This window comes from Homo sapiens, chromosome 5 (assembly GCF_000001405.40).
Source record: "Homo sapiens chromosome 5, GRCh38.p14 Primary Assembly".
In the NCBI taxonomy this organism is placed as follows: domain Eukaryota; kingdom Metazoa; phylum Chordata; class Mammalia; order Primates; family Hominidae; genus Homo; species Homo sapiens.
This window is the reverse complement of record NC_000005.10, coordinates 81,768,622-81,781,269: the sequence shown is the minus strand read 5'-3', so window position 1 is coordinate 81,781,269 and position 12,648 is coordinate 81,768,622. Positions and strand designations below refer to the sequence as shown.

The window sequence follows — 12,648 nt, the reverse complement described above, 5'->3', positions numbered from 1 at the left end:
TCAGCTTATGAATTTCTACAATAAAGCCTCTTGGGATTTTGCCTGAGATCACATTGAATCTATAGATCACTTTGGAAAGAACTGACGTTATGACACCATTGAGTGTTTCAATCCATGAACATGATATCTCTCTGTTTATTTAAATCTTTTTTCATTTCTCTCTGCAATATTGTATCCTTTTTCAGCACAGAAGTTATGCACTTCATTTATTAAGTTACTTCTACGTATTTAAAATGTTTTTTGAAGCTATTGTAAATTTTGTTTCTCAATGTTATTTGCTTTCTTAAAAATGAAAAATCCTCATTGTTTTCTTATTCTGGAAAATATAAAGATATAGAAAAGAAAGTATCAATTATAATATTACAGCCTAAAGATTATTATTAACATCTTGGTGTATATCCAATACTCTTATTTATATTCATACCTACATATACATATTTTAAAAATATAAATGATGAATCTGTCCTTTGAAAATAAAAATTAAGCCAAATCAACATCAACATAACCTAAGAAGCATTGAGTGACTATCCTAGACCTACTTTGGGCATTGATTTAAAAATCCCTGTATATACCCATTTTGGGGAAATCAGAACACATTTTTTTCCAACAGAAACAATGTTTAAAATGGTAGATTATCAATTCAGGCCAAGCACAAACAAACAAAAAAAAACAAAAAACCCCTACTTAACCCATAATGGCTTTTAGCCTTCTGTCCCTGGCCAATTTTTATTTATTTATTTATTTTTATTTTTTTTGAGATGGAGTCTTGTTCTTGTTGCCCAGGCTGGAGGGCAGTGGCACGATCTCAGCTCACTGCAACTTCCGCCTCCCAGGTTCAAGTGATTCTCCTGCCTCAGTCTCCAGTGTAGCTGGGATTACAGGCATTCGCCACCACGCTCAGCTAATTTTGTATTTTTAGTAGAGATGAGGTTTCACCAAGTTGGCCAGGCTGGTCTCAAACTCCTGACCTCAGGTGATTCTCCCCACTCAGCCTCCCAAAGTGCTGGGATTACAGGCATGAGGCACCATACCCGGCCTGTCCTGGGCCAATTTTTAAATCCTTCTAAGGTAGCACAATCCCTATGCCTTTATTCTCTGTAAGCCTTGGGCCTCTTAAAATCCTCTAAGGAGAGAGACCCAGGATGGAACTGGTGGAGGAGCTTGAGCAACAGCAGGAGCTGGGAGTTGGGCAGGGAGCCTTGTACGATACTGACTCTAGGGTTCCTGTGTCTAAGCCTCAGAAGTCGGGTGGACTCTGGCAGTAGAACCGAGTAGTGCCAACTTTTTTTCTGTAGTAATCTTTCCCAAAGAAATTCTCCTGAGGCTGAAATTCAAGAGGTCTAACCTCAAGGTAGTCATGTTGACCAAGAAACATAGCCTGTACCTAAAAGGTAATTTCAGAATAATTGATTGAGTTCTTTATTTGCCTTTCTCAAACACCATGCTGTCAGCACACAGTCCACAGCCTCCTTTTCTACCCCTCTTGACTTCCTATAGCTTTTCAAGAACTCTCTTCTCTAAATCTTGAAAACCTTTTTTCCTAGACATATCCCATGTGCCTTTTTCCTTCTTCTCTTCTCTTTCTCTCAATTCTGCATTCTCTAGCTCTAAAGAAGCATCTGGCAATGACAAGACCCTCCCTGAGGACACAGGGGCAAGGACAATGCTGGGAAGGCCCCACATGAACAACGTCCACCAAACGTCCCTGAGTGGAAGCTTCCTAAGTCAGGAAGAGCCTGTGTAGCTTGGAAGACTTGTGGGAAGTTCTGAAGGCTGGGGAAAGATAAAACTTATTCATAAAAATGTATAGCTCATTCTCATATGTAAAGATCATAGATACCTCAGAGGGAACTTTAGAGGCATGTCATTTTCAGGAATGTTTTATCCACTTTGCTTTGAGCCTCCATTACTAAACCATGCAACAAATTGTCTCAGCCCTGAGCTCCAGAAGGGCCTAGGTTTGGAATTCTGCGGAGCTGCAGGTCAGGAGGGAGCTGTTTTGGCAGTGCAAAACAGGGAAGCTGGCACGGCGGCTGTCTGTGCTGTGTTGATCTTTTGGTCTGATACTTGTTTTTAGTTTCACTTTCTTTTAATTATGGTCTTTCCATATCTGACCTTAACAGCACCCATTCTTTTGGTTTGTTGGTTAATTTTAATGATAACAGTGTATTACCATTAGAGTGGTTTCTCAGGTCACAGTGTATTGCAGAGAGCAGATTGTTAATTAAATGGTAATGTTTTCTGAATTTGGAAGTAATTTCTAAAGTTAATAGTTATTAGTTACCTTGAAATTGTAAAACAAAATCATCAGTATATAAAATCAGTACATAATTAGCAAGCTGTCCTCCAAGAAGCAGATCACATCATACTGTGTCCAAAAGGAACAGCTTTGCTGACAAGGCACTGACATAGTTAAGAGAAACCATGAATCACGTAAGGGGCCAGGAAAATGGTGCTGCCCAGCTCACATTCAGAGGCAGCATAATTTATGAAGCTCTGAGGACAGTGGGAGGTAAGCTGTCAGAAATGCTAAGTCCTCTGTGGAATTATTACATTCCCTTTGAAAGATTCGATGTCATTGAAACGAGGTAATCTGGGGAAGCTTGGAGGTTCTGTGCAATTGGGGAAATATGCAAAGATACTTGGAAATGAAGCCAAATTTTTTTCAGCCCTTTTCCCACTGGAAATCAGGCCCAAGGTCTTATGAAAACAGACTTTCTTTTCAAACATCAGGAGGAAATACTGCAAGAAGGATGCCCATGGCACTTTGAATGTTCCGGATCCACCAATATCAGAAAGGTCAGAGCAATGTAGAAACTGCGTGGACTGTGACTTTCAGATCTGTGTTTGCTTCCTCTCTGAGCACATTCTTTTCAATTATTTAAGATCAGATATTGTCTATGAGTTCAAGGGGAAAAGAGAATGAAAAAATTAGCACTATATGTTGATGAGTTGTGCAAACTTATTATCAGTTATTATATTTATTATTACTTCTGATAAGTACTTTCTAACACTTACTGTTGAGTGCTTACTGAGTGCTGAAAACAGTGTGGAGTGCTTTGCCTGGGTTATTTTACTTAATCCTGCCATAAATATAAGCACCACCTTCAGTTTACGGATCAGGAAACTGAGGCTTAGAGAAGCCAAGCAACTTGCCCAAGATCACACAATTTATCAGTGCTGGAGCCTATATTCCGGTCAGTTTCTTTAGCTTTTATAAAGGTATCAAGTTTTAATCTAATAAAAATATTAAAATGACTAGATCTACTTGACATTTTGGAATTGAATAAGATTCACCTTGAGGTAGAGTCCTCTGGATTTTGGCATAGCAGACTGACTATTTTTTTTTTGTCAAATCATTTTTATACAATTCCTTTCTGGTCCATAATGGCTCTGTGCATGTACTCTCTGAATATAGATGCAATCACTTCACTGTTAATGCCTACAGAATGTTTCCTCAGTAAGAAAGAAAGTTTATGCAACTTTGGAAAATGGTGTCTGAACACCAGTCCAAAACCACCTCATACGACTGTCAGATTCTTTTTTTTTTCCCCTTTTCTGTTCATATACACAGTTCATCCATTATGACTTGGATCATCAAGAGATTTCTTTTAATGGGTTACATTATTTTCTGTCACACAGCCACTTATTTCCTTGGAGGTCCATTGTACACACTATCCATTTTCCATGGGGGTAGGTAGTCCTGTTTCTGAAGTATTTATAAGAAATTTTATCATGGTTTCTATGGCAATAGACCATGAGAACATTCCTTCAAGCCATTTAAGATGATAATTCACCAAAACAAGTGCATTTATTTTTGTTTACTATTCGGCCATTGAAAGGTCTGGGGTAACTTAGTTGGCAGTTTGAAGAAACCTTTTCCTTCTCACTTCTGTGCATCAGGCAGCTACCTGGTCAAAAAAATTGATTTTAAGAAACATGAATGGCCACAGAGCAATTTTAGCAACAGTTTTTGCTGAACCTTTTGTGGTAAACATTGCCATTTCCTAGGTGCAGAGTGATTGGACTTCAAAATGAACCATCAAGCCCACAGGCAAGCTTAGTACAGAAGGCAGGCCTGCTTTCCAGGATAGTAGTTAAGCTTTTCTCTTCTGAATCAAATATCAGAAATAAGCCTTTCCCATTTGTGTATGATACCAGAATAAATAGAGGCCCCTCACAAGGGAAGCATTTTGATTCAGCTCAATTCAACAGATGGTTATGGGGACATAGTGTGGCATTGCAGAAGGACAGCAGGCTTTGGGCTCACCAGAACTGGATTCAAATCGTAGCTTTAGCTGAGGAGCCCTGAGAAAATGACTGGCCTGCTTTAAGGCTCTTTCCTCACTTGGAAATTAAAAACAATAATGCCTACACTGTCAGGGTGTTCTAAATATTAGAAATAATATATATGTAAACTGGGACCTACTTGGTCCTATCTTGGAGAAGAGACAGAGGCTAGAAACAGAAGTAAATCACATTCTTTACCTGGGTTTCTCAGAGCACAATAAAAGATACCCTGTTTGTAATCTACGACAAATTGATTGGGAGAAACATGAATGGCCACGCCTTTCTCTCATCCTTCTCCCCGAAGTCCTGCTCTCCTAGGGCTAATCTTTCTTTTCCTTCCTCTTCCACCCACCTCATTAGTTCTGTCCCTCTGGCTCCAGGTCTCTTAATTCTGCATCAGAAATGCCTAGGAACCTGGAAAAAGTCTGATTCTCCTCAGAGAGCAGGGAAGAGGAGAAGCTGCAGAGCAAAAGCCAGAATTCTCTGTAGATGGCAGAAAGGGCGTGGCCAAGACTGCAAACACACACCCATAAAGAGGTGTGCGCTGGCATATGCACAGAAAACTCAATTCAGTGCCTGGGACCTAGCAGGTTCTCAATGAAAAGGTCCTAGATTAATAAGCGCCCACAGTGTGCCAGATACCTCATAAGTATGCAGGTTAGAGCTCAACGAGGGGGAAAATAAGATCCCTACTTCAAGGAGTTCATAGGGTAGAAGCTGTTCTTGAATGTAGGTGTCTATTTTAAGCTGTTACCTCATCACTAAAACAATGAATATGCACTCAGTTATTTCCATCAAATACCCTATGCCTAATAGAACATTTACATGGCATACATGACAAATTAATATATCAGTTGCATTCCAGGGAAGGAATTTCAAAATGACCAAGAAACATTTCTTGAGAAACAAAAACAAACAACAAATCAAAACAAAACAAAACAACCCACCAAAAGCAAATTACCTAACATGTGCATTTATTAGTTTTATATTTAGCAACAAATGTTACTTGTGGGCTATATAATAACTAAAGTGGTACCAATGTACATACATTGTGTCATCACTTTTTGCCAATTATGATATCCTGATTAGAATGATAAACACATAGACTTCATTCACTTCTTGCTTCCTTCCGCTTTTATAACTGCCACCCAATTCTAGTTTTAAATGGATTATGGGATATGAAATTAGCTACTTATTAACACTATTTTGTAGCAGATTACTTAACTTCTTTGAGCTTCAGTTTCAAATCTGCTAAATGGGATTAAATTTTATAGTAGTGGGTACCTCATGGAATTATTGGAAGGATAAGTAAATTAATGCATCTTTAGTATCTAACAGTCTGGCGCAACTGTAAATGTTCAACAGATGGTTTTTTTTAATTATTGTTGCTATTTTCATTGTTTATTATTGCTTTCATATCATTTCATTATTGGATCTGGACTCTATGAGTTACAAACAGGAAGCAGTTTTATTTTTAAATTTCATTGCCTTCAAACATGCTCTGTCTTACCTCCCTTTCCTACTCCTGGATGATACCTCAGGCAGATTCTGTGTATTTTCCTGTTACTTGAGGATATTAGACAACAGTTCATTTTTAGAATTTAAAAACATCTAGTTCAACCTAAATCAAAACTTCCATTTGCCACCCACTTGAAAGTGTTTCTCCTCTCCTCAGCTCAGGCCAGGCCAGGGATCCCACAGATCAGCGGAGGGAGCAGCGCAGGATCTGCTCCTTGGCCCTCCTGGTTCTACCTTCTCTGTCACCTGCCTCTGGCTCCTTTACGGTTGAGGATGGGATAGTGGCATAGGGGAGGATTGGGGGGGCAGCAAGGACAACAAGAGGAGATGGTAGCTGCTGTCCTCGTACTTCTCTTTCGGTTCTCTCCTGATAGACTCTCTCAAATGGCCTCCATCCAGGCAACTGTCCATCTGCTGGCCCTTCCTTTCATGGAACACTTTTGTGAGATGGAGACTCTCACCCCTCCATATGGTCACTGTTAAGAGAATGTCAAATACTACACTCTTCTCCCAAGAAAGCAATACTCTTTCTGGTCCAGCGTGCAGCCCTGGAACCCAGCTACCTTCCGGGTTATCTGTTGAACTTATGGGAAATTCACCCCCCTTTCCCTGTCAAAGTCTGGAAGATCAGGCTCTCCCATTGCTGTCCTCTCTGTCCCTGCCCACCTGTAGTCAAGAGTCAGGCATGAGCCTCTGTTCTTTAAACTCCAGGGAACATGTGATTTGAGGGGAGAGAGAAACCACAGCACTTTCCATTTTTCCAAATTCCCTTACATGTCAGAGTCTTCTCTTTCATGATTCACTAATTTCCCTTATAAATAGGATGAGGGCATGATGGAATACATAGTCAGAGACCTGGTGAGCAAGTCCCACATTGATGGGTTCAGGAACTGTTACGAGAATGAGCAGACTCCCACTGCCTATTGTCTCTGGCCCTGGTGCTTCAGCGGAAACCCTGAGACAACAGGAAAAGTCCCATCCAGCATCCTGTTACATTTTTATTATAACAACATTTACAACAGCCTCTTAATTGGTTTTCCTGCTGCCTATTTGCCACTATTTCATTCCATCCCATATGCAACCTCTAAATTAATCTTTGCCCCAAAACTCTCTGATTTGTGTCATATTTCTCTTTTCAGTCAGTCACTGTGGCTTCCACAGGTTGGCTACCATCCCAACAACCCTTTTAATAATACAGGAAAAAGCTTAGGGTCCCCAGATTGAGTGTAATCCCAGGGAATTACACCAGATATCATAGTAGCAGAGTTTCTGTGGTCCCAGAAGCCCCTGTGACACTCGTTGTTTTCAACTGCTTATTATGTCAAACTCCCCCGGCGACAAACATAAACTCCACTAATTCAATGAGGCATTTACAGTATGATCAGAGATCCATAAGGCACTAGAAAGTATGTCTTTAATATGTAATTCCAGCTTCATCATTTCATCAAAGTCCTCTAAATTTTTAGGAGTGACCCACAGGCTGAATATTACATAGATTGCTTGGAGCTGATTTCTCCAAGAGCCAAACTCTACGTCAAGAAAGTGCAAAGTACAAAATCTAACCAACTAGAATTTTGGAACCCAGAGAACATCTAATTCAACTTTCCTATTTTACACATGACAGAATGGTGACTCAGAGAGACTGTGACTTGCACAAAGTCCCCAGGTCATTTGAGGCACGACTGGAGAAAATACCCAGCTTTCTTGATTCCTAGACTCAGGCTGGTTTCACTATCCCAGGTGATCGCTTGCCTGTTAGTTTCATTACTTTGTAAACCACCGTCCAATTAGTCCCCGTACTACAGAAGGTCGCCTCCCTGTAATGGAAAGGGAATGCTCTTTCTAAAATTGGTATTAAAGCCTTCTCTGATAGCATGTACGGAGAAGAAGAGTACCTATTAAAAATAATTAAAACAGACTGCAGACAAAGAATTTGTCTCAGAAGATGTTGATGGATCTTTTTGGTTATGAAGGGGAAGGCCCAGGATTTGGCCTGGATAGGAAAAGCTAAGATAAACCAAGCCAAATTGCTTTAAATAATAAAGTAACAGGAATTTTCCATTTCCAATGAGGATTGGGAGGGAGGTATTTTGGCAGGCCTGGGGCTTGGAGAAGAGAGAATAAGAGGGAAAAATTCCCTGGAGATGGGGAGAGTGGGCAGACCAAAGGGGAAAGTAGCTATTAAAAAAACTCCCAAAAACCTTAGAGCAAAAAGACATTATATTCAAATGTAAGTGCTTTTCTGTTATGCTGTGATCACCCTTCGTGATCCACGCGTCTTCAGTAGAAGTCTGTTATATGCAGCAATGGGTATTAGAGGTGCCTTGAGGAATACAGGATGAGGCAATTTGCCCATGCCTGGGGCAGGGGTTGTGGGAGAGTCAAAAAATCATGGAAGATCCTGACTGCTAGATTGCCATGGTAGGCAGCATAGTAGCCACCCCCCAACCCAAAAGATGTTCCTGATGTTCCTATCCTAATCTCATGAACCTGTGAACCTGTGAATATGTTACTTACATGGCAAAGGAGAATTAAGGTCCCTAATCAGCAGACAGGGAGAGTCTCTGGGATTACTCACATGAGCTAAATATAATTATCACAAGTGTTCTTAAAAGTGAAGAGGAAGTCAGAAGACGAGGTCAGAGTGATAGGGTCTGCGAAATCTCCATCCACCATTGCTGCTTTTGAAGATGGAAGACTGGGGCCATGAGCCAAGGAATGTGAGTATCCTGTAGAAGCTGGAGAAAACCAAGGAACATTCTTCCCTCAGACCTGTAGAGACTTCTCTTAGGCCTCAAGAGACTTCCCTAGAGGCTTGAGGGAAGGAAGTTCCTGCTGACAACTTGATTTTAACCCATTGAAATTCATGTTGGGCTTCTAACCCGCAGAGCTGTAGAAGAATAAATTTGTATTGTTTTAGGCTAGTAAATCTGCGATAATGTTTTACAGCAGCAGTAGAAAGCTAAAACGAGTGCCTAAATTAGATTTGATAAGAATCTTAATATTTATATTTAACTCAAATGTTTCCAAGTCCCTCACTTTCTGGGTTCAACCTTGTAAAATTGCGGAGCTGGCCCCAACATTTCCAAAGTTTTCCAGAGCAGTAAGGAGCTGACATTCTACTTTGTGGTAGTCCCAGTCCGCTACTATATAATCAAAGTTTTCAATTATTTCCTGAATTTATTATATCCATTTGCTTTATGTTAGCATTTAAGTCGCTACACAGGCTTGCCCAGCTTAACTTTCTCAACTTCACCTCCCACTTGTCCTCTTCATGGATCCTCTACTGCTGCCAAATTGCACCATCGGCACCTCAAACACACTCCTCTGGGCATCTGCTGTCCTACCACCTGGAAAGGTCTATCTCCCCTTCCCTGTGCCCCCAGACTGTGAATAATCAGCTTGTCCCCCAAGGCCTAGTTCAAGCATGGTCAAATCTCCAAAGTGTCCCCTAGCCTCCCCTCCTCAGAACTTCCCAGCATTTCGTCCTTAGCTCTCTTATAACCACCTGTGATCATTTACTTGGAACTTGTCTATTTGAGCACATCCCCTAATTCACTGTGTTGACCAGAAGCTCCTTTGGAGCATAGTGTGTATTGTTTATCTCCATATCCGCCACAGTACGGAGCACAGTGCTTTTCCTATCACAGATGCCCAATACATGCTTGCTGAATGGGGTCATGAAAGCATTTTTGGCTAAATAAATTATTTCAAGCGGAAGTCATTATAACTAACATGATCAATACATACTTCCCTATCTTTTCTTTTTTCTGAATGCCATGGTTCATAGTTCAAAAAGGAACCACCACAATCTCCAAATAACTCCTCCATACTTTCAACTATCATTTAATATTGCATGAGGTGAACACATATCTTTGCGTGCCTGGCTGGGATAGTCTCAGTTTACATCTGTTGTCCTCGCATGGTGATTAATAGTGCAAAAGTGTCTTTGTATGGATGATAAATTGGATGGTCATTTGACTGTTGGAGAACATAGGGTACGAAAGCAGCGTCTGGTTTTCATCCTTTCCTGAGAAGAACAATTGGAAACCAGTTACTCCCGCCAGATGTCCTCTTTGCTCCAGCTCCTTGGCATTTCTCTCCTCTCGGCTTCTCCTTCCATGGCAGCCCTCAATGCTTGGGTCCACCCGTCTGTGTCTCTGCCACATCCCTGCTTCCCAGTCTTGATTTTGTCCAGGAGTGTGTCTGCAGTGGCAGGATCAGAGGAGGGAGCAGAACGAGGAAGACGGTACAAATCCCAAGCTAGCTGCTCTCTTGTCACTCACCATTTATGTGTCTCCAGCCTGTCCTCCTGGTCTCGTCTCAGTGTTCCAAGGCATCATTCCTTGCCTTTATCATTCTGTTCCTTATCCTTCCATGCCTGGTTCTGCTTTGTATGTCCCAACAATACCCATCACTAATTCTAGTCCCTGACTGATATCAAGGGAATGATCACCAACATCCCTCTTACCTTCAGGGTAACCCTTAATCTCACAGTGGAAGAAGTGCTCCTAATATCTTAAATCGTCACACATCATATTTTTCTATAGCAGCAATTTCCAAAGCGTGTTTTGGGGAACTGTAGTTTGGGGTGTTAATATGTTTTACTCACTAAAAAGATTTCAAAGTCAAATAAAGTTGATGAATTCTCAATGGAACCATTTTAAGCAGTTTTCTTTTCTTTAAAGAAAACTTAAAGCCTTTAATATGCAAATGTACATTACAAATCTCTGAGAGGGATATATGATATTCTATGTTTCTCAAACTTATTTGACCTTGAAACTTTTTTCCTTGAAACTTTCTTGAGGGAATATTGCTCTGTGAAGCATATTTTGTTTTAAAGTAACTTACTTAACTCTTGTGGATCAATCATAGGTTTTTGAGAATGGACACAGGGGTCTATAGAATATAATAGGCATGATTGTTCTAGTGGGACAATGCATTCCAATATCTACAACCACATTTTTGGAACCTAGAAGGTCGTGAAGGGGAAAATTGTATATAAGACCCTTCCAGCTAAGAACTGTGCGACTGTCCAGAGAGCAGAGGCAGACAATCAAGCAGAAAGCATCTAGGACCATGGGTCAGAAGAGCTGGTATCTAGTCTCAACTTCACAACTGTTAGCTAGGTATTCCCAAGCAAGCTTCATCCATTTTTGTCCTCAGTTTTTTCATCTATTAAATGAGACAATTCATGATGATATTAAAATAAAAAATAAATAATATCACCTCAACATATGTCACAGGAATTTTAGGAAGATCAAAATAAATAATTATTTGAAAGGACTTTGAAAACAGTAAGGCTTTTGTGAGTGAGTACATCTAAAAGTACCATTATTATTATTATTATTCGGTACAGGGTCTCACTCTGTCCCCCAGGTTGGAGTGCAGTGCAGTGGTGTGATCTCGGCTCACTGCAACCTCCACCTTCCAGGTTCAAGAGATTCTCCTGTTTCAGCCTCCCAAGTAGCTGGGATTACAGGCACGCACTACCACAGCTGGCTAACTTTTTGTATTTTTAGTAGAGACAGAATTTCGCCATGTTGGCCAGGCTGGTCTCGAACTCCTGGCCTCAAGTCATCCTTCTGCCTCAGCCTCCCAAAGTCCTGGGATTACAGGCGTGAACCACCGAGCTGGGCCTATTTCTTAATTAACTTGGTTTTCTAATAGGAATAAAGATGCAAACCCACAGATAACGTTCAAACCCTACTTTTTTTTGCAAAATGCTTCGATCCAAATAATTTTCCCCAACATAAAGCACAATTAATAAACTAATTTCACTTTTTTTCTCCTTCTAGATCTTCACTGAGGTGGAGGAGCAGTGCAGTGGCCAAGAGAAAGATGGGATTGACAGAGGGAAATAAAAAGAACTCTGATATGTAATAGACTGGATAATCAGGATACAGTAGGCCATGGTCACATTTGAGCTCCAGGTGGTGTCTGATTGACTTGGAAACAGTACAATAGGGGCAAATTTTACCCTCACATTTCCTGGCAACTTTGGGTTCAAAGATATTAGCTGTTACTTGACATTCCCATTGGCAAAAATGAAGGGCATGCCTCTGTTGACAAAGCATGAAACGTCATCTGTTGTGTCTGTAATGCCATAAATGAGTCATTGATTCCACAGAAGAGCAAGAAAAAAGAGCAGGAAGGGCAGGAAATGTTAGTTACCATATTTCTCCATCATCCATGGCATGTGATGGGGCAGAACATGTCACCAGGCAACAGTAACATGGGGCTGTTTCTTGGCCTCTCAGCTCCAGTACTGGGATAATCTATTAAATCGTCTCACAACTTTCTGGGTATTCTTGAGCCCTATTCATCCTCTTTGGTTCAGAAACTGATTTAGAGAAGAGGGACTCTGAGTAATCTGTAAAGTATTGTTTATCTATAAGACTTTGGTATGCTAAGCCTGAATCAGCAATTAGGTTTAATGCCTTGCTATATTTGCTTGAAAATGAAACCTGTAGCAAAAGTGAATGTGCTATGCTGAAAGAGCATTTAAAAAATAATCTCAGCTGGGTGTGGTGGCTCATGCCTGTAATCGCAACACTTTGGGAGGTCAAGGCAGGAGGAATGCTTGAGGCTAGGAGTTTGAGACCAGCCTGGGCAACATAGTGAGACCCTATCTCTACAGAAAATACAAAAATTAGCCAGGCATGGTGGCACAAGTCTGTAATCCCAGCTACTCGGGAGGCTGAGGTGGGAGGATCACTTGAGCCCAGAAGGTCAAGGCTGCAGTGAGCCGTGTTTGCACCACTGCACTCCAATCTAGGCACCGGAGTGAGATCCTGTCTCAAAATAATAATAATAATAATAATAATAATTTAAAAATAA

General features: G+C 40.8%; 1 long non-coding RNA gene across 1 annotated transcript; it reads left to right on the top strand.

Moving 5' to 3' along the window:
* Positions 1-2,459: 2,459 nt before the first annotated feature.
* On the top strand, positions 2,460-12,108 carry LOC107986384 (uncharacterized). Its single transcript, XR_001742518.1, has 3 exons — positions 2,460-2,512; positions 2,670-2,799; positions 11,607-12,108. It is a non-coding gene; the product is annotated as an uncharacterized LOC107986384 (long non-coding RNA).
* Positions 12,109-12,648: the final 540 nt, after the last annotated feature.